At 41.4% G+C, this 27,865-nt stretch overlaps 2 protein-coding genes across 6 annotated transcripts in view, besides 2 other annotated features; one reads left to right on the top strand and one right to left on the bottom strand.

Annotated features, from left to right (window-relative positions):
* The window catches only part of ERICH6B (glutamate rich 6B), a 74,446-nt gene extending 71,173 nt beyond the window's left edge, over positions 1-3,273 (top strand). For all 3 annotated transcript variants that reach the window (NM_182542.3, XM_017020418.2, XM_011534965.3), the window contains one exon: positions 2,887-3,273. In NM_182542.3, the coding sequence (NP_872348.2) occupies positions 2,887-3,105 (219 nt within the window). In that variant the 3' untranslated portion in view covers positions 3,106-3,273. The remainder of the gene's footprint in view (positions 1-2,886) is intronic.
* Positions 2,314-3,165: an enhancer, noted in NCBI's record as "H3K4me1 hESC enhancer chr13:46115537-46116388 (GRCh37/hg19 assembly coordinates)". NCBI's record gives its function as "activates a minimal SCP1, AML or CMV promoter by ChIP-STARR-seq in naive H9 embryonic stem cells {active_cell/tissue: H9 hESC(naive)}" and the evidence as "EXISTENCE:reporter gene assay evidence [ECO:0000049][PMID:30033119]".
* Positions 3,880-4,379: an enhancer, noted in NCBI's record as "H3K4me1 hESC enhancer chr13:46114323-46114822 (GRCh37/hg19 assembly coordinates)". NCBI's record gives its function as "activates a minimal SCP1, AML or CMV promoter by ChIP-STARR-seq in primed H9 embryonic stem cells {active_cell/tissue: H9 hESC(primed)}" and the evidence as "EXISTENCE:reporter gene assay evidence [ECO:0000049][PMID:30033119]".
* Positions 7,866-27,865, bottom strand: part of COG3 (component of oligomeric golgi complex 3) — a 71,763-nt gene continuing 51,763 nt past the window's right edge. Inside the window, exons 18-24 of one of the 3 annotated variants that reach the window (XR_429222.5) lie at positions 25,717-25,805; positions 25,473-25,607; positions 19,516-19,591; positions 14,649-14,776; positions 13,787-13,885; positions 11,255-11,330; positions 7,866-9,865 (exon numbers count right to left, since the gene is read on the bottom strand). Coding sequence is in view for 2 of the 3 variants with exons in the window: in NM_031431.4 (NP_113619.3) it covers positions 9,836-9,865; positions 13,787-13,885; positions 14,649-14,776; positions 19,516-19,591; positions 25,473-25,607; positions 25,717-25,805 (557 nt within the window). In the remaining variant the exon portion in view is untranslated. Of the gene's footprint in view, positions 9,866-11,254; positions 11,331-13,786; positions 13,886-14,648; positions 14,777-19,515; positions 19,592-25,472; positions 25,608-25,716; positions 25,806-27,865 lie in introns of those variants that run through there. The other 2 variants (NM_031431.4, XM_047430702.1) reach the window with 2 other exon arrangements.

Genomic DNA, 27,865 nt, shown 5'->3' with positions numbered 1-27,865 from the left:
TGTGAGCTTAGGATCTGAGGAAATTCACATTGAAATGCTCAGGTTAGCTGGGAAGAATGACTTGCATCTGTAACCCCAGGGCTTTGGGAGGCCAAGACAGGTGGATCCCTTGAGCCTAGGAACTTGAGAGCAGCTTGGGCAACATAGCAAGACCCCTTCTCCACAAAAAAAATTTAAAATTAACTGGGTGTAGGCCAGTTGCGGTGGCTTATGCCTGTAATCCCAGCACTTTGAGGGGCCGAAGCAGGTGGATCACTTAGCGCCAGGAGTTCGAGACCAGCCTGGCCAACACAGTCAAACCCCGTCTCTTCTAAAAATACAAAAAATTTAGCTGATCCCAGTGGCTCACGCCTTTAATCCCAGCTACTCGGGAAACTGAGGTAGGAGAATTGTTTGAACCAGGGAGACGGAGGTTGCAGTGAGCTGAGATCACACCACTGCACTCTCAGCCTGGGCGACAGAGCCAGACCCTATCTCAAAAAATAAATAAGTAAATAAATGAATAAAATTAACTGGGCATGGTGGCTCTCGCACCTGTAGCCCCAGCTACTTGGGATGCTGAGGCAGGAGGCTCACTTGAGCTCAGGATATGATCCTGACAATAAAACACAGATGTCACCCTGCATTATCTCACTTGACACTCACAGTGGCCGTGTCAGAAGTCAGGGCCAGAAACAAGGGGGAGTCTGTGTCCCCAGGCCTGCTGTTGTGTCCTCTTCCCTCCTCCTCAAACAAACTCTTCTCTAGACAGATGATCCCCTGGAAGTTCAAGGCACACTCCCCAGGCAGGCAGGAGACGACCAATGCTGTATTTGTTTCTTAGGGCTGCTGGAACAAATCAGCACAAACTAGGAGTCCTGAAACAACAGAATTTTACTCTCTCACAGTTCTGGGCCAAGTCTGAGATCAAGGTGTCCATGGGGCCACCATCCTCCAGAGGCTCCAATGGGGGACACTTCCTTGCTCTCCCAACTTCTGATGGCTTCTGGCATTCTTGGCTTGTGGTGGCATCACTCCAGTGTCTGCCTCCACCTTCACACAGCCTTCTTCTCTGTGTGTCTGTGTCAAACCTCGTCTTTTTTCTTAAAAGGACACCAGTAGTTGGATCTAGGGCCTACCCTAAATCCAGAAGGAGCTCATCCTGAGAGCCTTAACTTAATCATATCCACAGAGACCCCGTTTCCAAATAAGGTCACATTCACCAGCACTGGGGTTAGGACTTGGACATCACTTTTGGGGGACACAGTTCCACCTACTCAAAATGTTGAGGCTGGACCCCCAGAGCTCCAACTGTAGTGGGGGAAGAAGGTGGGCTCCTGAGACCCTTCCTGAGGACCAGAGTTAAGGAGAGGAATGAGGGTGTCCTTGGCTCCCCCCGTGAGGCCTAAGCAAGGTTCTCTTCCTGCTCAGCTCCCCCGGCCCATTCCACAGGGAAGGCTCCACTTACAGACCCCCACACCACCAGAGAGGTGTCCCGGGGCCCCTGGGAGCAGGACTGCCTTGGCAGACAGACAGATGGACATGTCCCCTGGGAATGAGGCAGATGGAGAAGTGGGCTGATAATAGCAGACTCCAGCAGAATAGATGCAGCTGTGTGCAGAGTATCTGAGAAGAGAGGAGGGAGTGTGCTAGGTTTAGGGTGGCCAGACACGTCGGTTTGCTCAGGACTGAGGAGTTTCCTGGGACATGGGACTTTCACTGCTAAAACTGGGAAATTTCCACACAGGCCTGGCCTGCTGACCCCCCTAGGTTCCCTTGCCTGGGAAGGCCTCCTATTTTGCAGGTGAATAATGACATCCCAGCATCCTTGCCTATCCTGGATTTCTCAGAGCAGCCAATCCAGTGAAGAGGAGGCCAGCACTACCAAGCCCGAGTGGCGGGACCAGCTGGGGCTGGACAGCATGAGGGCCTGGGGCACCGGCCTTTGAATGGCGGAGGGAGGAGGGCAGGGACAGGAAGGAGGTGCCCAGCGAGGCTGCAGGAAGGGCTGCTGTGGGCAGAGAGACCAGGGGGCCTGACGCCTTGGAGAGCTAGAGTCCCGGGGAGGGGCAGCTGTGCCTGTGCAGGGCATGTCCCAAATGAAGCAAATCAGCACCAGTGTAACTAATCAGAGCCAAAGAAATGAGACAGAGCCTGGCACAGGGTCAGCCCACGTGGGCAGTAGTGTGCCCAGGGAAGAACAGGCGCCTCCATGCCCAGCCTCTCCACTTCCTGGGTGACACTAGCCTGTGGTCTGAGCCCATAGTCTTCTATAATATGGACATAGGTTATTACATGGCTAAAATAATAACAATATTGTGTGAAGACATTTCATACGCATACGAATGGAGCACACGGGTATCGTCCTATCTTATCCCCTCCAGGAGACTCTGTCCTCAGTCTTCTGCAGGCTGCAGACCCAGGCAGAACTTGGCATAGAGGCGGCCTCCCTGGGCCAGGCCTTCATCTCAACAAAACCCAGATACACTCCCAAGGAGCCCAAGGTGGAGGCGGGGCTCACGGGTAGCCACTGTGAGGCATCCCAGCTCTTGCAGGGCCCCATGGTCGGGACCCCATGGGGAGAAGCCCGGCAGCCGCAGGAAAGCACCGCCTTTGGAGGGCAGGCCGCGCCAGGGCACCAGAACTGCTTTCCCTCCGGTTTAGGGCCAGGCATGGGTGTGGCCTCAGCCCACATCACCATGGTCCACCTGACTGCAACACCAGCCAAGTGAGCGTATTTGGAAGCAGCAGGAAGGTGGCAGGTGGCAGGGCTGAGAACACAGATGTGCTTTCTCGAGTGAAGGCTCAGGGAACGCTTGGTCCTGGCCACAGGAGATCTGGCCTGGGTCTGGGGCACCGTGCTCAGGCAGCATGCATTCTCACCCAGTCCTCTGTGAATCCCCACAGTTTGTGATCCCAGAGGTGCTGAGCGAAATGAAGAAGAAAACCATCCTGGAGGCAGAACCCGGCCCAACAGCCCAGAAGATCCGGGTCCTTCTGGGGAAAATGAATAGGCTCCTGAATTACGCGACCACCCCTGATCTGGAAAACTTCATAGAGGCCGTCAGTATATCACTGATGGACAACAAGTACCTGAAGAAGATGCTCTCTAAACTCTGGTTTTAAGGCGGGGCTTATCTGGCATCCACCAAATGCCTTAGGAAGTTGGAGACCTTGGGAGCTCCAGGGAAAAAAAACCCAAAGACCTGTTGACCTTTTATGAGAGTTGGTTTGTAATTTGGGACCTGTCGTGGCTCCTTGATTTGAAGTAAACATTTTTGGCAGAAGGGCTAACAGAGTCTGTGGCTGAGCACAGAAAAGGCTTGACAGCCCTGACCCAACAGCACGGAAGCAAGTTGTCGTTTCAGTGACATGTCAATGCCTGTCCTGCCTGCTTCTACGGTCACTCACTCAGTTCTTTTGTGGCTTTCAGTACGGGCCTTGACTCAGGACAACGACTGTGCTCACAGCCAAGCTCTGTCTTTTGTTGGCTGTGTGATCTTGGGCAAGTACTTTTATACCTCAGTTTCCTCATCTGTAAAATGGGCCTAAAAATAGCAACGATCACCACAGAGTTGGGAGTATTAAATTAGATAATGCACGTACAGTCCCTAGAACAGGGTCTGGCCCATAGGAGCCACTCAGCGTCACTCCAATTACTGTCAGCTTGGCCCTTCCTTCACGTCTGGGCAGCTCCTGGGAAGGGTCTGTGAGACAATCGGGTAGGCTGAGTGTCTGCACTTCCTTGGGCTGCGAAGGCACAGCCCCTTCAGCTTCCTCAGGCCTTTCTCTTCATGATGCTCCCTATTGTTACTGAGACTGCGCACGAACCAGGCGGGCCCTGTTGTGAGCACTGTGCAAGCTGTAGCTCGTGTGGCTCCAGGATGTGGGCAGTATTTTCTCAAGGACACTGGGATGCAGAGAGGTTAAAGGACTCGCCCAGGATCACACACCAGTATGTGATGGTAAAGACTGGTATTCCAGCCTACTCGACTACAAAGTGATATCACTGTGGTGATAATATGAGTATGTTTATGACCCTGCCACCACCACCACTCCAGGGTATCTCAAAGACTCAAGGCCACTCCAGGTGCTACTGCCCTTATCCTACCTTGTTGCATGGCCCCTACCCACCTCCACCCCACTCCAGGGAGCTCTGGAGGCCAGTCCCGGCCAGTCAGCTTCTGCTGACTTGGCACAAATCATGCATCAGCCTTGTGGGGGTCCAGCCACTCCTCCTGGTGTTGGAGCCTCTGGGCACCACCCCAGAACACAGCGCCTCCTCCTGAGGCTGAGAGAGGGGAGGCTACGTGTGGCCCAGTGCCTGGATCCCCCACGCTTCCTGCACGGCCCCAGAGGCTCTCTCCAACCCTGCCTGGATCCCACACGCTTCCTGCACAGCCCCAGAGGCTCTCTCCAACCCTGACCTCATTACACCTCGTCCACCCCTGCCAAGCCAGAGGGAAACCCAGATGGCAAACCCACATCGGCCCAAATCCAGTCCCCGAAACCCGTAGGTGACTGAGAGCCTGAAAGGACCCACATGCCAGCTCCTCCCAGGAACTGGGTGGGACACTTGGGGTCACTGGTAACAGTTACCAACTTGAATTGCTAAAACAAAAGGGGGAAATGTGTCATCTGGAGAGAAGAACACTGACCCGAACTGAAGATGCAATGGGTCTCGGAAATGATTGGAGCGGAGAAGCTGCAGACCCCATCTTTCTGCCTCTCAGTCTTCGACACTCATCTTGTCCAAGAGACGTTTTCTACGCATCTCAGGTCACATGGCTTTGTCTCCCAATCACTCTCAAAAACACCCCAGTGGTCTCTGCAGTTGGCCTTGATTAAATCAGGAGACCACCCTTGGTCCAATCCAGTGCAGTAAGAGCAGGTGGGATTACGTCTTGTAAATGGCTCCCAGCTGATCCCAGAGCATGAGTAGGGGCAGCTGTTTCTAAAAATAGGAGATTTGGGCTGGGCAGCCCCCAGGGGATGATTTTATACACTCTCAGGACACCTGCAAACTTCCCAGAATGACCTGAGCTCCAGCGTCAACCAAGACAGTATAGAAAACCCCAGGCCTGGCTGGGCACAGTGGCTCACTCCTGCAATTCCAGCAATTTGGGGGGCCAAGGTGGGCAGATCACTTGAGGCCAAGGAGTTAGAGACCAGTCTGGGCAATATGACAAAACCCCACCTCTACTAAAAATACAAAAATTAGCTGGGTGTAGTGGTGCATGCCTGTAAGCCCAGCTACTCGAGAAGCTGAGGCACAAGAATTGCCTGAGCCCAGGAGGCAGGGAGGTTGCAGTGAGCCAAGATCACACCACTGCACTCCAGCCTGGGTGACAGAGTGAGACCCCGTCTCAGAAAGAAAGAAAAAAGAAAACCCCAGGCCAGGTGCAGTGGCTCACACCCAGAATCCCAGCACTTTGGGAGGCTGAGGCAGGTGGATCACTTGAGGTCAAGAGTTTGAGATCAGACTGGCCCACATAGTGAAATCCCATCTCTACAAAAAATACAAAAAATTAGCGCGGTGGTGTGCACCTGTAATCCCAGCTACCTGGTAGGCTGAGGTGGGAGGATCACCTGAGCCCAGGAGGTCAAGGCTACAGTGAGCTGTGTTCATGCCACTGCACTCTGGCCTGCGCTACAGAGTGAGACCCTGTCAGAGAAGAGAGGAGAGGAGAGGGAGGAGAGGGAAGGAAAGGGAATGGGAGGGGAGGGAAGGAGAGGGGAGAGGACCCTTCCTCTAGCAATTAGCCATTCTCTACTGTGAACAGTGACACCCAAGTGCTGCCTTCATGGCCCTTCTCCCTGAGGCTCTCCCACTGTCTGCCACCAACCTCCACTTAATGCTTTGTCCTCACCCCCAAACCATCACCTGTGCAGCTGAGCTGGGACTAGGACAATCAGGCTGTCACAGGCAGGGTGCTACATGTCACTTCCTTGGCCTGACAGTCACACCTTGCTGGTGAATGCTGTCATCGGCTAACACACAACAACAGTTCCTTTGTTGCAAGGTAATGAGCCATAAATGACTACTGTGGTAGCATCCCTTTATATAGCCACAAAGTTTGAGTGCCTGGTTAGTTCCACACCTATGCTCAGGGTACACAGAAACCCCTGTCCTTACCACACATCAAAGACAGAAGCTCCCAAGTGGATCTCAGCAACACACAAGTCATCCCTAGCCAGGGCGATGGTATTGGAAAAACAGAGGGAAAAAACTAAACAGCTGTCTGGGATAGAAAATGCACAGGACTTAGTAGTAATGGGATGATGTGGGGAAGGCTGCATGACTTGGACAACAAAGTCACACAACACTTATAGAGCATCTTCTGCAGACACTGTTCTAGGTGCTGCGTATGAACAAAACAAAGTTCCTTTCCCAAGGAGTTTGTGATCTGGGTTGGTGGGGAAGACAAAAAACAAACAAGCAAAATACATCATGTGTCAGGTACAAAGACAACTAATGCAGGTGAGGGGAACAGCAAGTGCTGGGGACTGGGACTCGCTATTCTATATAGCAGGGTTTCACCACCTCTGCTCCACTGACATTTAGAGCTGGATGATTCTTTGTGGTCGGGACTATCCAGTGCTGTAGGATGTTCAGCAGCATCCCTGGTCTCCACGCACTAGAAGCCAGTAATACCCCACCCCTAACACACACACACACCAGTCACAACCAAAATGTCTTCAGATACTGCCGTACATCCAGGGCTGGGGGCAGGGGCAGGGATTGCCACTGCTGCAGGTCATACTTGGGTTTTTTGGTTTTGTTTTCTTATGGCCCAGCACATCTATCTTGGCAACTGCTCCATGTATATGAGAAGGTATATCCTGCAATGTTAGGGTTTCTGAATTTACTAATGGGAAACAGGACCATCTGGACTGTGATTCATTCTATAAGACAGCTGGCCTTAGACTCTTCCTTTAAAAAAAAAAAAAGTCAATGTCAAGAAAATAAGCATATGAAAACTCTTAAGAGTAGTTGTCTAAGCTAAAAGGAAGTAAAGAGACATGACAACCAAGTAAAATGTTGAACCCAGGATAAAGAAAAGCTATGAAACATTTTGGGGGAACAATTAGGGAAGCTGAAATATGGACTTCATATTAGATACTACTGAATTTCTTTTTTAGGTGTGATAATGGTGTTGGGTTATGTAGGAGAATGTCCCTATTCTTTGGAAACGGATGCTGAATTATTTAGGGGTATAATTTAACAGTAAAGTGTCACGATGACTGCAACTTCCTTTCAAATAGTTCAGCAAAAGAATATGTATGGGTGTGTTTGTATACACTAATAATGAAAACCCACTTGATTTCCTTTAACATGTGTAAAAGGGCCCAATCTTGTAAGACAAGTTATTTTAGAATATACATAGAAAAAAATCTGGAAGGTATATGCCAAACATTCAACCGTGGTTGGCAGTTATAAGTTGTCTTACTTGTAACAGCAGAAGAAAATTTAAAGATATGGTGTTGTTAAGCCAGGGGAGAAAATACAAATATTTTTGGAAAATAGAGGGAAGAATACAATACTACTAAATTTCAATACAACTATGTATGTCAGTACTATGCTGACAGTACTCATGAAATTGTCAGTTTCACAAAGAAAAAGTTAAAATGTCTTTTAACTAAGGAAGCATTAAGATGCTTCAAAAATGTCTTTCCATAATAATTTTCTTGCCAAAGGAATTTATACAGTACAAGTAAAACTGGCAAAATCTGAGTAAGATTGATAGAGTATATTAATGTCAATATCCTGGCTGTGATACTGTGCTATAGTTTTGCAAGATGCTACCATTGGGGGGAAGCTGGGCAAAGGGTACATGGGATCTATCTGTATTATTTCTTAAAACTGCATGTGAGTCTGACACAAGTTATCTCAATTAAAATTTTAATTAAAGAAATTTTCCTCAAGGAATGCACACACGTATCAGACACGTGAGGACAAGGTAGGAAGCAAAAATCTTTATTTTTAAAAAATTCACATTTATTAAAAACAGCAATTTCTAGCCAAATAATATAAAGCATTTTAAATTATTTGAAAGTATATACACTCTTTGTATAAGTGAACACTTAAAACTGTACAGATTTAAACAAATAATCATTTAGCAAACAAGTTGGGTCACTATTACCTACTCAGCACTTTGTAAGGTGTTTGAGTGTTTCAGAAATAAAAGATCAAAAGACAAGAACCAATGTCATTAAATATTTTTATAAGAACACACTCCGCTCTGTAAATCAAATTAAATCAGTCACGTACTTACTGTACAATAATCATGCCCTCATTTCTTTGGAAAGGCTATTAAAAATCAAATGTACATATAATACACAAAACTGGATATTTTACAGTTTATTTCATTAAACATGTATTTAAAAAACAGTTAAGTAAATACAATCTTCCTAATTCATTCATTTCATGGCAAAGAATGAATATGGGCCCTCTTACCTTCTACCTTCTCAAAATAGAGAGTAATAAGCTCAATCAAGCAACGTCCATCACCAATTTAAACTGAGTGAAAAGGAAGTGACCTGTTACAAATGACAACAATCAGGGTATGCACCCTGCAGAAGTGCTGCCTCAGTACGTCTAATGAGTTACAGGCACCCACTGCACCAAAAGGTCCCCTGGTCCCATTCCAGAACCCCTGACAATGTCCACCTCTAGACTAGTGTTTGAAAAACTCAGAATTCTTTTTGAACTAAGAAGCTGGCTGCCTTAACATCAGCGGCAAAACCAATCCAATCAGGAAGTAGGAATTTGTTGGAAAATTCATAGATATGCATAATTTATGATCCCTGATATGGTGTGGTAGTTTTCAGATGTGGATAGTGTTTGTCATCCTTAGGTTTGCTGGTAAAATGTATTCTGCTGTAGCTGGGCTAGAGATCCACACAGCTGGTCCACAGCACAGCACAGCCAGCTGAATGAATAGACAGGACATGAAAGTGTTTGCTTTTCAAAGAACTGCTAAAACCAAAGGCAGTGTACAGAAGGCTGGTGACCTGAACCTTCATTCAGGAGGAACACTACTCCTCAGGTTTCCTTCTCTCCTCTATGCGCCAAATTTAAGACACCTTAATTGGTACTTCGCACTCACAAACACACACTATCATACCATGAAGATACTCATTAAAGATACTGCACGTATCTATGATGAGAATGCTGCAGCTCCTTGCTTTAGAACTGTCTGCACCTAAGCAATTCAAGGGGCACAGATGCTGGAGCTTCACACAAAGTCCTTGTATCTTTAAACTACCTCACATCAAACAGAGGAAAGGATGACACCCCGACTTCCCAGGAAGGCAGAATGTGTTCTCAGAAGCAACCAATCTACTCCAAACTCAACTTCAAAAATGACAGGAGAAACATTACATTAAATAAGAGCATAGAAATAACATTTCACTGTGGAATGCTCAGTGGTTAAAAGTGTTACAGTGTTTCACGTTTTAGCAAACCTTACTCTTACAGGCCTTCTAATTCGCTTGATTTCTGTAAAGTTCTTTGCACTACTTATTGTAATCTATTTTTATTGCACATTTTTAACAAAGAACCATTTCACTGCATGTCTGCCCTAGCTCTCTCTTCACATTTCTTGTGACCATTTAAACGAGGCAGTTATCACCAATCACAGATTAATCTTTGGCATTTTGATGTTTTAGAAAAGAAAACACTGATCCTGTAACACTTTGCTTCTATTTCATTCTGCAGTCAGCACTGAGCAGCACGCTCGTGTGGTTCTCGGGGACGTTCCCACATACGATTCCTCGGTGTCCTGCAGACTGCAAGACTTCTCAGCCTGCTCCTCCCAGACAGACATTTAGGTGCACAGCCCGGCTGGCCTGCTTATTTAGAAACCAACAGCAGAAGGCTCAGCTGAAAAGCAAAATTAAGAGCTATGTTAGTTCTCCTATGGAATACCGTCCTCAAGAAAAGTCAAGGAGGGAGGGGAACCACAAGGGTTGAAAAACCTCAGCATCATGCAATACAGCCAGGTAACAAACCTGCATGTATGTACCCCTTGAATCTAAAATAAAAGTTGAAAAATAAAATAAAGCAATTAGAATGGAAAAAAAAAAAGTTGTTTAGAGCCCCAAAAACAGAATGAGAGAAAAAGACCAAGATTTTTATGAGACCAGTAAACATGGCTATAAAGTAGAAACTGGCCCACAATGTTGGTCTATTTCTGAGGCAGCCACTGGGCACTGGCATTGGGAGGCCCTGTCAGGGGTCACACTTCATCACCAAACCTAGGCCATCAAATCACTTAAAATCCAATGAGAATAATGGCAAAAACTATATACAAACACTGACAAGGACAGAAACATACCTCCATAATCCACTGTGCCTTGTTCTATGCAGTGTGTTGTTGGAAGAGTTGTAAGCTGTCCTTTAAGTGACTTTTTAAAACGCACAAGAACAGACATGACAAGTGAATTTCAACTCACATGCCAATTCTGACCAACTGCAGGAGCAACCTGCCCGCTCTGTAACGGAGGACTGGGACACCAGAGCCGGGTCACAGTAGTGATAGGAGGGAAATGGCTGCCTGCACTCCAGGTGTCTGACACCCAGGCCCTGGAACCTTGTGGGTAAATGGACCTGGCTGTGAACCATTCTATCAGTACAGCTGTTTTGCTGATGCAGATCATCACCCCGATGTCATTTATAAATGAGTGCTGTCAGAAGAGGGATACAGAATCACCTCTGTGCTTTCCCTGCCAAAGTACAAAGCCTAAATGTAATCATGATGAAAGAGACAACACCAAATGGAGAGACAGTCTGCGGAATAACTGGCCTGTCAAGGTCAAGAAAGGCTGTCTAACTGCTCCAGGTTAAAAGAAGCTAAAGAGACATGACACCTGACAGCAATGCATGACCTGGGACTGGACCTGGACTGGGGAAATGTCAGCAAGAAGATCAGCAGGAACGGTACCGGGACTCTGATGAAATGTGTGTATGAACTGTGAATTAGACACTAGTATCAATGTTAAGTTTCCTGTTTTGGTAACTATACAGGAGTAGTGAGAGAATTTCCTTGTTCTCAGGAATACACTCTGAAGTATTTAGCAGTACAGGAGCACAATGTCTCCCAACTTTCTCTCCAATTATTTAAAAGCGGGGCTTCAGGGACAGGGAAGGGAAAAAATGAGAAAAATGAAGCAAATGGGGCAAAATGAAAATGGGGTAAAGGATATATGGGCACTCCTTACACTATTCTTGCACCTTTTCTGTAAGTTTGAATTTATAACAAACTAAACTTACAAAAATAATGTCTTCTGCCATAAAATGGATCTTATGATCAAGTACTCCACATCTACATTCATGCAAGTGACTATAACTGGAGAAAAAAAAAATAGACAACTAAGTTGAATGGTCTCTCTTGGATTCATATCCACTAAACTCACCCGAGCCTGTCTCCTCCCTCTCGGTGATGACCTTGCTTCTTATTTCACTCAGAAACGTGAAGCACTCAGAAGAGCACATCCATGAGCTCCCGCCACATTCACAGCCCCCATCCATGCCCATACACTCGGCCTCCTCCTGTTACCATGACTGAACCCCCGTGTGTCTCACAAAGGCCCCACCCTGCCTGTTCCTGAAATTCCACCCACATTGTCAAGATATTTTCCCCTCCTTGTAGATCTTCCCCCATGAACACAAAAACACGCGTTTTTCTCCTATCTTTAAAAAAAAACAAGTTACCCTACGGAAAAATGTGGCCAGGCACGGTGGCTCACGCCTGTAATCCCAGCACTTTGGGAGGCTGAGGCGGGTGGATCACGCGGTCAGCAGATCGAGACCATCCTGGCTAACACGGTGAAACCCCGTCTCTACTAAAAATATAAAAAAAATTGGCGGGGCCTGTAGTCCCAGCTACTTGGGAGGCTGAGGCAGGAGAATGGCATGAACCCGGGAGGCGGAGCTTGCAGTGAGCCGAGATCACGCCACTGCACTCCAGCCTGGGTGACAGAGCGAGACTCCAACTCAAAAAAAAAAAAAAAAAAAAAAAAAAACAATGGAAGGATAACCCAATAACTAATAAAAAGAGTTAACTATAGGGGAGGGAAGGGAAAGGCTGGAGGGGATCGGAAAAGGAACAAGACTTCTCCAAATGCACCTTGTTCTGTAATTCTGACTTGGAAACCATGCAAGTATTTTATATCATTAAGAAACAAAATTAAATCAAAATAGAAAAAAAATCTCTAAATATTGAAAAGAAACCCAATTATATATCGAGTTAGTGGTACAATCATATAGAAAGTAATTACTTCAAATAAATTATTTGGAAGTATTTTGACTGTACAAATATCCTAGAATGATACAAATATCTTTTTAAAATGTGACCCATCTATCCACATAAAGGAATATATACAGCCATAAAAAGGAAGCTCTGATACATACAACACGGATGAGCCTTGAAAACATGCTAGGTGAATGAAACAAGCAGCGATATGAGGCCACATATTGTATGATTCCATTTAATGAAATATCCAGAATAGGCAAATCCACAGAGACAAAAAGAAGACGGGGAAATGCAGGATCTGCTAATGGCTAAGGGGTTTTTCTGGGGAGTAATGAAAATGTTCTAATTAGATAGTGGTGAGGACTGCACAACTTTCTGAATATACTAAAAACCATTGAACTCTGCACTTTAAAAAGATGAATTCTATAGTATATGAACATCTCAATTTTAAAATGACCCCATTTCTCCCTCCGGCTACCACCCCATCTTTCTCCTCTCCACTACAGTAACACTCCTCAAAAGATTCTGGCTGGGTATGGTGGCTCGACTGTAATCCCAGCACTTTAGGAAGCTGAGGCCGGCAGATCACTTGAGGCCAGGAGTTCAAGACCAGCCTGGCCAACATGGTGAAACCCTCTGTCTACCAAATACAAAAATTAGCTCGGCATGGTGGCAGGCACCTGTAGTCCTAGCTATTTAGGAGGCTGAGGCACAAGAATTGCATGAACCTGGGAGGCAGAGGTTGCAGTGAGCCGAGATCACACCACTGAACTCCAGCCTGGGCAACAAAGACTCCATTTCAAAACAAAACAAAACAAAACAAAAACACAAGATTTATCTACACTCACCATTGCCTAGTCCTATTCACCCAGTTTCTACCCAGCCCAGTCAGGCTCTTGCCAGCCTGATCAGTCTCCCCAGATTTCCTAGTCCTTACCATATACTAAATTTCTAAACTATCCTAAACTTAAGACCAGATATAAAATATCCTCCACAGCGCCAGGCTACTCCTAATACATACTGGGTACTCAGTAACTTCCATGTTTTCAATCTTGAAGTTATTAAAAAACTACAAATAGGGTGCAGTGTATACTGCTCGGGTGATGGGTGCACCAAAATCTTGCAAATCACCACTGAAGAACTTACTCGTGTAGCCAAATACCACCTGTACCCCAGTAACCTACAGAAAAATCAAAAATTTTTTTAAAAAATGTATTTCTCTTATTATGCATATTTCAAACAAAATTATTCAGCAAGCTAAATGCCACTATTTGAGTCTTTTACAAACAGGTCATTCTCTTAAACACAGCAATATTCATATCAGAAAGGATTAAACAGAATTTTAATCCTGAGATTAACTGAAAATTCTAAAACTATCCCCCAAAAGTTTGAGAGAACAATTCAAAGGCTGAATTCTTACTCATCAGAATAAAAGAAGGTAATATTTTTTAAATTAATACTAAAAATATGTTTGCTCAAAGACATTATCTACTCAGGTGAAATAACCAAGAGGGCATAAAAGTAATAAGGATCTTCAGTCTACCCATTACCTGTTCCATAGATGGACAGGCAATGATCTGGATGTCTTCAGGGCTGAACTCTTCCTTTAACAGAGCGTGGAACTTCTGGAAGACTTGCTGAATATTATTCTTAGAAAGGAGGAGAGGAGATCTTATCAAATGAGTTGTCTTAAACACGAAGCACCATGAATGTTAAATTGTAATGATATTTGCCAAAGCGAGTGGAAGCGATGTATCTTTCATGATATTACCAAAGACGCATAATTTGCTCTTAATATTTCAGTGCTGGCATGACCTGATGAAGACTTATCAGATAATGCTTCCCAGGAAGACTAAACTCTAGCGAGCCTTGTCCCCCCAGAGAATAATTTTAAGGGTCTTCTGCAGCAATTTCTTACACAAAAGATAACAAAGTTCCTAGACACATAAAATATACTTTAAAAATCAACCCATGCCTTGGGTAAGAACAAGAGCTCAACACAGAGCTGGAAATTATGAGCCCTAAATTTGCTCTGACATTTAATCCCTTGGTTGCCACTGCAAGCCATTTATTTCTACTACTCACCAGTAAAATGGGGCATAATTCCTGAAGTGCTGCTCTCTTGAGAGCTGGGCCACATGCAATGTAAGGGTCTGATTTTTTTTGGTTTATTTACTAATTTCTACTTTCAGTAGTAACATTAAAAACTTAAGACAAAGTGACAGTGGGAAAAAAAGATAATCAAGACAGAGGCAGACTTTGTAAGCCTTTCATGAATCATAGTGATTATTCAACTTCACTAGAACAGTATACCAACATTTCTAAATGTCTACAGCAAAAGGAAAATGGTAAATGAGGCAAAGAATACTTGAAGTCACCCGCCAACATTCAAATGAGTTATCTGATACTCACCCTCACAGGTTTAAACAAGATGAACTCGGTATCTTTATTGGATAGGTACAAGGACATACTTCTCAATGTCACAGGCAGCTTTGTTTTTATTGTCTTATATGCAGTTGCCGCAAGGTCATTGACCTTTGCTGGAAATAAAGTAACCTCATTAGTGTCATAAAGAAAAAGAAAAGAAATATTTCCATTTTAATTCAAAGGGGAATAAAGGGAGAAAAAAATAGCAGAAGAAAAGACTCTTTATTTCCCCAAAGAATTTCTTTCATTTTTATAGCTTATTTACCAAGTTTAATCATAAGCCCTATAAACATTCATTAAATATCTACTATACAAAATTCTAATCCCAAGGGCTAAGGCAGCAAAATAACTCCCCTAGCATGCTTCAGGACATTCATAAGAGCTGTAATATGTACCTTTGGAATTTGGAGGTAAGAGATTAAAGTTAAAAAAAAAAAAGTCATTTTCAGAGAGACACTAGTAAGAATTACTTCATAATGAATGAGTTTGTTCATTTGCAGAAATGACTCACAGTAAGAGATGCTTAGACCATTCAGAAAATATCCACACATATTTAAGGGGAATTAAATATCTATTTGTTATATTCTTATACTGTATTATCAGAAGGGGAACAGAATCCCAAAAAGTTATAACAAAAATAACTATGAAACCCAAGTGTCATGTCTGAAGGAGTTACATAGAAAAGGAGAGTAGTAATCTGTAGGAAGTATTTAAAAGAAGTTATCTAGAAAACTACAAAGAAAAAAGACTATTAACAATTTCAAAGATGCTCAACCTCACTCATAAATAAATGTAAATGAAAGCAGTGAGATATTTACAGATGATTGGCAAAAATTACTAAGATTGTGATATCCATGTTTGACGAGGGTATGGAGAAACAGGCATCTTTGTGTACTGCTGATGGAAGTACAAGATGGTTCATCTCTTTGGAAAAATATTAGGCGCTATCTAGCAAAACTGAAAATGCAGATACTTTTTCCTTTAGCATTTCCACTGCTAGAAATTTACTTGCAGATATACTAAAAAAATACCAAGATATGAGTATACAGACATGTTAAGAGTATAAGGAAAAACAAAAACTGCAAATAATTTAGGTTTCCATTACAAGAATTACAAAAGAAATCATGCTATAGTGATGTATTCGATGCATCCAATAAATAGAATGGATCAAGTTGGATATGCTATACAGAAAGGCCTCTAAGATATATAAGAAGTGAAATAGCAAGGGGTATAGTACAATCTCATTTGGGTAACATTTTTAAAGTCCACATGTGCTAGTAAACACATAAACAATTTTGGGAAGGAAACTTTAATAGTAGTTGCCTCTGAAAGAAGGACTAGTTTGGAGGTAGAAAATATAATTACTTTTCATTTTATAGCTTTTCATAGTTCAAATAATATACCATGTAAAAAACAATGTTTTAATTGAGGAGGGTTGTAGTAAAGCAGGGTAAGAAAGTACCAATGCTCTTGCTACTGGAAAGGGGTCCTGATCCAGACCCCAAGAGAGGGTTCTTGGATCTCATCCAAGAAAGAATACAGGCGAGTCCACAGTATAAAGCAAAAGCAAGTTTGTTAAAAAAGTAAAGTGGTGAAAGAGTAGGTACTCCGTAGACAGTAGGGTGTTCCCAAAAGTAAGAGGAGTAACGTGCCCACCCTAGATCAATGCTTGTTTATATATAGGATAACAAAAAACATCATGGGGATATGTACTCTGCTACAAAGGCTTGTGATAAAGGGTTAATTTTTTTTAATTACTATATTTTGCAAGAATCAATATTATTATCTTTAAAGCAAAATTAGGAATGCTTTTGTTCTCAAGATATCAGGATATCAGGACATTCCTGGGCCTGGGTGTGTTTAGTAAACATTACTAATCTGTTTCATTAAATGTAAACATCTAGAGGCTAGGAATACCTAACCTCCTGGGAATGCAGCCCAGCAAATCCCATCCCCATTTTTCCTAGCTCTCTCTCGAGATGGAGTTGCTCTGGTTCAAATGCCGCTGACATTCTCAGGAAGAAAGAATAAATAATTCAGGAACTGCTTATTTTTCATTAATACATGAAAGCTCCTTCAAGACCCTTACTTCCATGGGCCCTGGTTCTATCATTACTAACACACCTCAGGGATCACTAAATCGGTCTTCAGAGCCCTTGATAAGCAGAGAGTGGGTGCACAGGCTGGTGACTAAAGTGTCCTCTAATTCCTAAAAAAGGTTTCTTCGTCAGAGTAAATTAACAAATGGGCATCCTAATTTATAACTCACTCTCCTGTGAGTTTGTTTGATCATGAAATGATCCCTGAGAACTTGACCAAGTCTGAATGAACCAGTAACCCTCAGTTTTTAGAGCAGAGAGGCCCAAGACAGTTCCTAGATTGTCCTCAATGCTCCCACCCCAAGGGGCCATAAATCTCTCTTTGGCATTCAAGTGTGGGCTTCAAGTACTACAGATTCACAAAAACCAACTCCACACCTCTGCTATGCCTAAATGGGATAGAAGATACAACTACAAGATAAACTGAACTGTCATTGCTATATTCACTAAGATCTCCTCACTAAGAAAGAAGGAACTGGGTTAAATGACAAAGCAGCAAGTCCTACTTCAATCTGTCCTTTTGTCTACTCCTGCCAGTTTCCTTTTATCTACTCCTGCTTTACTATGACAATTCTAAATTCTAGTAATGCTTAAGAGCACAATACATCTAACACTTTGAATCCTATTAGGGTTCCACTTGAGAAAATGACAGTCCCTATTTTGAGAGAGAGGATCTTTCCAAAGGGGAAAGAGCAATACGTTAATTATGCATCAAGACACTGGGCTTAGCTGTACTGGTTTCTACCTTTAAATCTTAAGAAAGATTTATCATACCCAAGAGTTTCATTTACATAAATGTTCAAAATAAAAATCAGCTCCTATTTCTAACTAAGCCCTATAAAAGCAATTGGAACCTTGAGTCAAAGGCTCCAATTAATCCCCAAATCATCAGAATTCCTTCAAGAAGTATGCTGAGTTGTGAACTGATAAGTCTGCCTCTTGACTGTGAGGAATCAGAAGAGGTGGTTAATACTATGTCAGACTATGATTAGAATTTCCAGTATTGTCGGTAAAAGATCCTGATTTTCTGTCTTCTGACAGAATGTACTACTGTATTAAGTGTGCTTTTGTAGTAAGATGTCAAAGATTTCTATTTCACACACAACGTTTTTCACAACGTATTTCACAACGAACGTTTAAAATAATAAAGACAATAGAACGTTCCTTGTCTGCATCATGGTAAACGAAACACCTAAAGTATGTCACAAAGTTTATTTGCAGTCAAACAAATGAACTCAAACCTATATTGACATCATCAAAGTTCACCTGAGGAACCTTTGAAATAAAATCCTATCTTCCTTTCAAAGACAACTGACATTCTCTACATTTACAAATCTTCCTAAGTGATACATAGCTATTCTTCTAATTTCTCAGTTCAACTTCAAGTTAACCTAAGGCATTCATAATTAAAAATTTTGAGGCCAGGCATGGTGGCTCAGGCCTGTAATCCCAGCATTTTGGGAGGTCGAGGTGGGCGGATCGCCTGAGGTCAGGAGTTTGAGACCAGCCTGGCCAACATGGTAAAACCCCGTCTCTACTAAAAATACAACAATTAGCTGGGCATGGTGGCAGGTGCCTGTAATCCCAGCTACTTGGGAGGCTGAGGCAGGAGAATTGGTTAAATCCAGGAGGTGGTTGCAGTGAGCCGAGATCACGCCACTGCACTCCAGCCTGGGCAACAGAGCAAGACTCCATCTCAAAAAAAAAAAAAAAAAAAAAAAAAAAAAATTAAAATTTTGGAGGCTTTGAATAGCTTCAATCCTTTTTCCCAAAGAAAATGAATACCTAACAGATATAATGCTCTTTCAATATGGAAAACCAATCATATTAAAAAGTTGATTCCAGATTAGGTGACTGTGCATGCCAATTTTTCATGGATGCAAAGCCAGAATCATTTTTTGGATCTCTCTCACTGAGTGGAAAGCTGCCCTCCAACTTGGACACAGCTTACCCATAATTAAAACACTCATTCTTTCATCATTTTGCCCATTTTAGTTTCAAAGGCTATCACAATATTGGCTAGAGAATGGCCAGAAATATCAATTTAACAAAATGATTTATTCTGGTTTAATGGCAATTTAAAATGCCGCAAGAGGTACCAAAAATAACTCACAAAGTTAGTCATGATTTTAAATGTCTAACGCTAAAGACCAAAAAAAAAAAAAAAAAACCCAAAGCCCTCCAGCACAAAAAAATTTACATTTAAGAAAGAGTAAGACTGGGAACATCTCAAATACATCTGCCAATCAGACAATAGTATTGCCTGCCAACTCCCAACTGACGCCTCAATTTTTACAATTTTTTTTCCCAATACTCTAAAATGTCAACAGAGGATAACTTGGACAAAATGTGGAACAAAATAGTGGCCCAACATTTCTTCATACACTTGAAAGTGGGTACACTCGCCATAATTTCTTCCTATCAACCACAGTATTTTCATCAAAGCTTGAACACAATGAATAGTGGGTGTACAGAAATCAACAGACTCAAAGGGTTTCCATCTTAGCCATATTTTATTTTTAACTGGGTGATTTAAAAAAAAAAAAATTCTTCCTTCCTTGGAATGCTTGCTGAAATGCAAGTAGTGCTAACCAATTAAGACCTGTCAGCTCCAAATTGAATCCTGCATTAACTCAGATTGCAGCACCCCAGAGTGAATAGGAAACCAACTCCAAGCTGTCACAGTAAGGACTATATAAATGCAAACTAATAACATCCTAAAAAAGAAATCCAAAATGGTCAAATCAGAATACCTGGTTGTGCCCAAGGCTGCTGTGAGAGAGTATACTTGGGGCCTCCCTGACTGGCCATTGTTTTTAACGCTGAAACCTAATAGAGGAGACAAAAAGAAAAAAAGTTTCATTTCATCAATGACAAATTAAACTGGTACTGCTCTCAAGGGTGGTACTGCTCTCAAGGGATACACAACACCATTTAAACCTATTAAAACACAATGATAATCAAATGTGCAGCCCTAAAAAAAATGCATTATCTCATAATCCTTTACAAGTAATCAACGTTTTTAGTAAAACTTCTTTTGTGATTTCAAGGCATATGGTTATCTTGCTAAAAATCATACCTAAGTCCTGAGGCATTCTATCTGAAATACTTCCCACTAGGAAGACAAAAATGAAGCCCTAGAGAAATGTCAACACAAAACAGGTGTCTCTTAAGGGGACTGTTACGTCAATATTAAATTATTTTTGTATGTAATTAGAAAAATGTCACCCTAGCTGGATAAAATCTCCTTTACATATGGAGGATCATTTTTCTTATATCACAGGCAGAGAGAATGTCATTAAAACAAACAAATAAGATTTTCAAATACCATCAAAAAGTCACATATGACTGACCAATCAGTGCTAAAGATAGACCTGAATGACCATCTTCTAGTCATCTCTTTTCATTCCTTAGCAGCAGTATAGAGAAGTGGATCCAAAAAAGGGCACTTAGCTGCTTGAACAAGACTGTTTCTAAGACAGTAAGCTGTGGTGGAGCTATGGGGTAGCTGGGGAGGGTAAGAGAGAGAAACTGCATAAAACGTGTTTTAAAATAGACAGTCATGTGCCAAAGGTGCAGTCCATGGCTTTGGCCTCACGGGAAAGTCTCATTAGAAAAGCCCGAGCAACAGCTCTAGATTTCTCAGACAAAAGGCCATACAAACATTTAGGCAGACACAGGGTATAATGGGCAGACACAGGGTATAATGTTGACTTGGATCTCTTCAGCCTCCCCTTTATTTCTAGTTTCTATTTCTCCTCCTGGACCACTCTAGGCCTTTGCTCATACTGCCTACCTGTATAAAATCACCTCTTTCCTCCTCTCACTCCATCCCTCTTCATATCTTTATTTTTTGAGGTGCACTTTAAAAAATGAATCATATATATTATAGATACTAGACACTGCTAAAAGAAAAATACATTCACATTTTAGTGTATGTTATCCAAAATATTTTCCGTTGTAAAAATATAAATATACTAATGTGTATACATTTACAAATCTGGGAACAGTGTTCTGTGAACTTTTTTCCCCACTAAATCTACATTCTGGTCATTTTCCCATATCCAACAGTTTTGTTTTAATAGTAATGGCTGCCTACTGTTGCACTGATTGCTCCAGAATTTAACCAATTTCATAACATAGATTTAGGTTTCGCACAAGTATTTTTATGTTAAAAACAAATATAAACTAGTATATTAATCTCTATTTACTATCCAGATAGTTTACTTATCTTTAAGTCAAACCTCAAAGAGCATTTGCTTCAAAAGTTTTCCCCAATCAGCCTCATTTTTTTAAGGCTAGTCAAGTGAAGCCCCATCTTTTTAAAAATTCCTACACAATGAACAAAGACCCATCGTCTCACAATAACATTGCTGTATACAGTTTCATGTTTACCTATTTTTCTATCTTAATTTCCCTTTAGGTTATACCTCCTTGAGAGCAGGAATTAAACTTACAGATCAAACTCCATTACATGCACTAGATCAAGAAAAAAAATTTAAGTTTATAGTGTTACTGAAGAAATTAACAACACTTCAGAGGGAATATTAAGAATAAACTCGTAATAATCAAATTACTTGAAAGAAAATGAATATTTTCTATATATAAGTCTGAGTTTTTAGCATAAATTGGTCCCATCAGAAAAAAAAAAAAAACACTTTTAAGCTTAGCTACAAACCTGGAATTATACTTCCTTTAAAATGCCTTAATTTAGACTTTGTGCTAAAGCAAAATCTTCACCTCAAATTTGTCAAACTGTACTACAAAATAACATTTCTGCAGCAAGCACTTTACAGATACACATATGATCTTGTTTTCTCTCCTGATAACCTTAACTTCAGTCAGAAGGTGGCAGACGCAGTTGCAGGATCTAGGGCTCAGCTGCCTTGACACAAAGTTCTTGCTTTCTACTATAACCACTACCATCCCAAGTCCTACTTAAGAGTTTGTTTCAAGCAACATTTAGTACAATGGAATTCTAGAACGATAAAAAAGTATCAACACTTTTTGAAGTTTGGTAGAAAATAATCTAAGCCAAATGTTTTCATATGAGCCTCTACTCCTAAGCCTTAGAATAGCATTACATTCCCTCAGGCCAAATACTTAGAGGTTATTTTTCCAGGGGCAGGAAATGAGGCAACAGAGCATATACACTCTTCTAGTACTTATTTTATTTTTTCTCAGGAAAGATCAATAATTATACCAAAAATCAGGTATTAAACAGAAACCAGACAGGTGAAGATGTTGTAGAAATGCTTATCTCATGAATACTCAACCCATTTCTCAACCTGTCAAATAAAGATGCTTCTCTTACTCCAGGTTCCAGGGATGTAGTAAGAATTAATGCATACAAAGTGTCTCAACAAGGAGCACAGAGGAAGAAGCTACATAAACAACAAGGCCAATTTACAGTAGATGAAAGGGATCCAAATCAGACCCCAACTCTTTAAGCTCAAAAACAAGTCTCTGACAATCTAAAAATATTCTCTACACGGTAATACATCTATATTGTTAAAAATCAGTCCAAACTTAGAAACAAGCTGAGGACATTTTGTTGATGAGCCTTACACCCAAATGATAAATACCGAGACCTACAAACACACATCCAAATGAGATGAAAGACTTTCCCATCTGTACCTATGGGTGTTGATTTTCCTGCAACCGTTTATCAAGGGACAAGCATTATAAAATGCTAACTAAGGCCAGGCACAGTGGCTCCTGCCTGTTATCTCAGCACTTTGGGTGGCCGAGGAGAGCAGATCCCTTGAGGCCAAGAGTTTGAGACCAGCCTGGTCAACATGGTGAAACCCCGTCTCTACAAAAAATACATAAATATTAGCCAGGCACGGTGGCACACACCTGTAATCTCAGCTACTCAGGAGGCAGAGGCAAAAGAATTGCTTGGACCCGGGAGGCAGAGGTTGCAGTGAGCCGAGATCGTGCCACTGCACTCCAGCCCAGGTAACAGAGCAAGACTGTCTCAAAAAAAAAAAAAAAAAAAAGCTAACTAAATAAAAGAGGCATGAGATTCTGCACTTGCAGGTAATTAATGCTGAGGTTTACCTTTAAAGAAAATCATTTTAAAGTTTTCTATAAAATCTTCCTGTTTCTCTGCTATTCAGAATGCTAGTAACAGTCACTAGGTAAAAAGTGAAAAATCTTTGGTCCACAAATTTTAAGATGCAGTGTCTGAAATGGTTGCGTGTGTGTGTGTGTGTGTGTGTGTGCACGTATGTATCTTTGTCTCTGACTCACTCTATGCCACAGGATGAAAGGGAACTGAATCTGGAATATGACACCATAAAAGGGAAGCTCAGTCCTCCAGGCTGCAGTGTCCACTCAGTAGAAACTCAGTGAGCAGCAGTGAGGGCCCAGGGTTGACAGAGGAAAAGGGAGGCAACTACAAGTGGTCTGAGCAAGGGCAGCAGAGACTGATCACGTAGGATGAGACTGGCTTCTAATGGGGATGAGAGGCAAGGCCTTTCCCTTCCCAATCCCATTACGAAGGGAATATAAAAACAGGTCCATGAACATTTGTTCAGGGATCCCTGCTATACGCATGTAGCATGTCCATGGAGAACCATTACATAATTCAGACTTGGAATATTTTCTACATAAACCTCTATTTCCTTTTTCAAAAAAAAAATGTTTTGAGACAGAGTCTTGCTATGCTGCCCAAGCTGGTCTCTAACTACTGGGCTCAGCCATCCTCCCACCTCAGACATCCAGAGTAGCTAAGACTATGGGCACGTGTAAATTTTTATTCTCTTGATTTCTAGAAAAACTGTGCTGTTCTAGAACAACCTTTAATCCTGGATTTCATTATAATCAACTTGCTTATTTCAGAAGATTCATTCTGCTGTTCTGTTATTGTACAATATTCATCTATAATACTTCCCACCAGTACTACTGTGGATGTTCTCCCAGAAATATACACTACAATCTACCAGCTTGTTTTTCACAAGGGTAGTTTCAGTAAAAACTGTAAGTTATCTGTAAATTACAAAGTACCAATACTCAAACCTTTTTTAAAAAATCAAAACCTAGGAGAAAGCATTTCTATCCCCCTCCTTTTTTATGGCTTTTGTGGTGGGAAAAAAATGCATATGCACACATTGCAAATACTCGGAATAAAATCCACTTAACAAGCAATATATGCCAGTGATAAACAAAAGAGTACTTTAACATTTCTATGCATTTTTGGCCTTTTTAATTATTTTTTAAAACTCGTATTTTCTGTCTTTACCACAGGCTTCAGGCATATTAGCGTTGATGGATCCAACAAGAAGTTTCTAATGAACAATTGCATAGCTGTCTCCTTGTTATTTCATACATATATCCTGTCTGTCCAGTTAAGACTAGTCAAATTTGAAAATAAGAGCCATCATATTTTTATTCTTTTTATGATGTCCTCTGATACAAGTCTGGGGTAAACAGTAGCGGCTTAATAAATAAAAATTTCAAGACGTTTTCTTTCTTTCTCTTTTTTTATTTTTATTTTTATTTTTATTTTTTTTTTGAGACAGTCTCACTCTGTCACCCAGGCTGGACTGCAGTAGGATGATCTTGACTCACTGCACCCTCGACTTCCCAGCTCAAGCAATCTTCCCACCTCAGCCTCCCAAGTACCTGGGACTATAGGCACACGCCACTACACATGGCTAATTTTGTTCGTTTTTTGTAGCGACTAGGTCTCACTATGTTACCCAGGACTGTTAACCAGTGTCAAACTCTGGGGGCTCGAGCGATCCTCCTGTTTCAGCCTCCCAAAGTGCTAGGATTATAGGTGTGAGCCAACACACCCAGCCTAATTTCAAGACTTCTTAAATATCTTTAAGTCCTTAGTAATGACACTTAGATTTTTTTTAAATGATTAGGTTGAAACAAGAATGTCAAAATAGCCATGATCTGCTTTTCTCTTTGCTGGCATTTGCCAGTTAATGGATTTTAGATTAGAAGACAGAGAGACAGAGAGAATATACTATCCACACATATAGTCAGTCCTCACTTAATATCAGCAATAGGTTCCTGAAAACTGTGACTTTAAGTGAAATGACGCACAGCATGTCCTCAAATAAAGTCGTTCCTTCAACGTTCAACATTGTTTCATTATACTGTTGATGAGGAAAAAAAAATTGGTTTCATTTTATGTTGTTTCACTTAAAGTCACAGTTTCCAGGAAGAGACCACCAATGTGAAGGAGGACTGACTGTACATTAAATCCATATATCTGACAGTTAACAATGCTATGTTATAAAAGTCTTCAGTTCTCAATTATCCATGCAAAATGGAAGAGAAAAACGGCATGTAAAACAAAGAGGAAAACAAATCACCCATTTTAAGAATAGGAAACCCTGATTCCCAGGACTGTGGTTGCTGCCATGCAGGTCCAGGAGAAAGTGAGAGTCCCAGCCCACATGCAGATAACCTACAAGGCGGATAAACAGAACACAGCTAACCAGGGGTCAGCTATAACTAGCTTTGCAATATTTCGACTCTTCCTCTTAAAAACAAAAACTGTGCAAGCATATCTAAAAGTCCATAAACCAGAAAGCTTCCATAATAGGAAACACAGTGATTTCCTAGACAGAATCATTAAGACTTGGGCTTAATATCTCCTTCTGCCAGAGTTTACACAAGAGAGTAATTCAAAAGGAAATCTAAGGAAGAATGCAAAATGACTTTACCACATAGGCACCAAGGTCTATACCTTTGTCATGAACTCCTCCAGCTGTTCTACAAACAGCTTGGTCTGCTGCTGAATAAACTGCTCACAGGCCGATTTCAGATGACGGTCTACGTCTTTTTTAGAGTCAAGATAATGTTCTCTTATCTCAGGAGTACCCTTAAAAAGAAGATAACAATTTCCTCCTGTTTTTATGTGCCTAGAAATCACCAGACATGTAAAGAATGTCGTTTATCTCCCACCACCAATGAAACAGACTCCTTCTCACCTCCAACAAGAACTCTATCAAGGCATTGTTGCTATTCAGCCTAAAAAATCTTGGGACAGTCATAGGGTTCAGGATTTTAAATGCTGCATCTGTGAAACAAAATTACTCATCCAGTGAACATGTAAAGTTTCAACAGCAAAGCCATGAGTAACATACACCAGTTCTCTACCACCACAAGGCAAAAAGCCAATTCACCTTCAGCAACTCACCTCCATGAAAGGCTGAGAGTGAGATGAGCACCAGTGATGGCTACAGTACTCACAGAGTTATTTTCTAGAAGTTCAAATTGCAAAATGACTATTAATCTCAATTATTCACTTACCAAAAAAAAGAAAAATGATAAATGGTAATCGGCACCTTAAAATTTCACTGCTTTACTTTTAGGATATTAAATAGGTTTTTAAAAAATACTCATATACTTACCCAGCTTCTTTATTAAAATCTTGGCTGGCACAGAAATTTATTCATTTGAAGCAGAATAATAAACTAATGTGTCAGCCAAGAAGAAAACACCAAAAGGACGTATTTACCCCTTAACCTCCAGACTAACTAGAATCTATGTGAAGTATTAGCTGAGGTCTCATTGATGTTCAAATGCAATACAATATAATGTTAGTCTTGAGAGGTTAGAGGCGTAAAAGTAAAGATAGCAAGTATTATTAAGTGAGTAAGAAAAAAACATCTCTTTGCTTTGCCAGACCAGATAAAGCAAAGCATGAAATGCTTGTAACCCTGGTTTGGCAAGCACACACTACCATAATACTTACTGCCTTGACCCTGGTAGTAATGAAGAAGACCCTCTCTCTATCAGTTCAGTATTCAGAGTAAAGCTTTAGTAAATAGTTGTGTCTGCTGTCTTTTCTATAAGATCCCTCAAAGATTCTGTCTGCACAGAATCAAATCATCATATGGTAGAGTTACACAGGCTTTGTAATATTTGGAGGAAAACACACTTTCAACCAAATTTTGCCACAATCTCAAGATATTTCACTTTCTCTCACCTCAGTTGATCTACACTAGAACCAAGCAGCAACAAATTACAACTTTAGAAAAAAATGAAAGAAAGTAAATCAACCCTGCTCTATCCCATCACTTAAAGTAAGAACTGTCAGAAGCTGGGAATTCTTCAAGGTGTAAGAGCATGATTCCCACACCTCACACTGAAAGGAATGAATGAAATCAACCAGAATGGGTGGGAGATGGAAGCCTCTGATGAGAATAAGCTTTAAAAAAACTATGTGTTCTGTAAAGGCAAAAGCCAGGGTATCTGGCTCCTATTTAAAAACCAAACCAAAACAAAAACACATGGTGTGCCACTTCCAAGATTAGAGAAAAAAACAAAAATAATTTAAAAATTTTAAAATCACAAAGTACATAACACACATGCTTTACAGAACCAAAACATATTCTCCGTGGTGGACAAGAGAGAGCACTAGGGAACGAAATAGAGCAAACTGTTTTAAGAAGAATCATCATGAGGTTACACTGGCTCTCGGGTGAGTTAAATCAAATCCACTATCAGATAGGCACAGGAATTGGGGAACTAAAAACCTGCTATCCTTGAACATCCTATATTTGGGGTTCCTCTAAACTGTAACACATAGAAAATAATTTGAGTGACCATTTTTTTAATTGCCCCAAAACATTAGAGAGAAGTTAACTGATCACATAAATGAATGGCTTAAGGCATCAGAGCATAAATCTCTTAGAAATGTTTAAGATAAAGTTTACATAAATTTGTAAGTAATTAAGGGACATGAGGGATGTGTATGGTATATCCTTAACTGCTTAAGATCAATTATCTTAAAAATTAACTACTCTGATCTTTTAGAAATCATCTCTTACTAATTCAGAGACAAATCATTAGGATGGATGAATCATCTTTCTCAAGATGATTCAATGTCTATTACCAACTCAAAGACCCTATCTTACATGATTACTGATTTAATACCACTGAAGTTTATTTAAGCACCTGAAATTTATGAAGATGTTAACATATATTTTCATTCCTTTTCGGTCTTAATGATCTTGATAACCTCGTGAAGGTATCATGACAAGTTCATTATGCTCATTTTACATAAAAGGAAGGTGGCATGGAGAAGCTAAAACACCCACCCAAGATCACACAAAGGCCGGGAAATGATGGGAC

This window comes from Homo sapiens, chromosome 13 (assembly GCF_000001405.40).
Source record: "Homo sapiens chromosome 13, GRCh38.p14 Primary Assembly".
NCBI lineage: Eukaryota > Metazoa > Chordata > Mammalia > Primates > Hominidae > Homo > Homo sapiens.
This window is presented reverse-complemented; position numbering and strand designations above follow the sequence as displayed.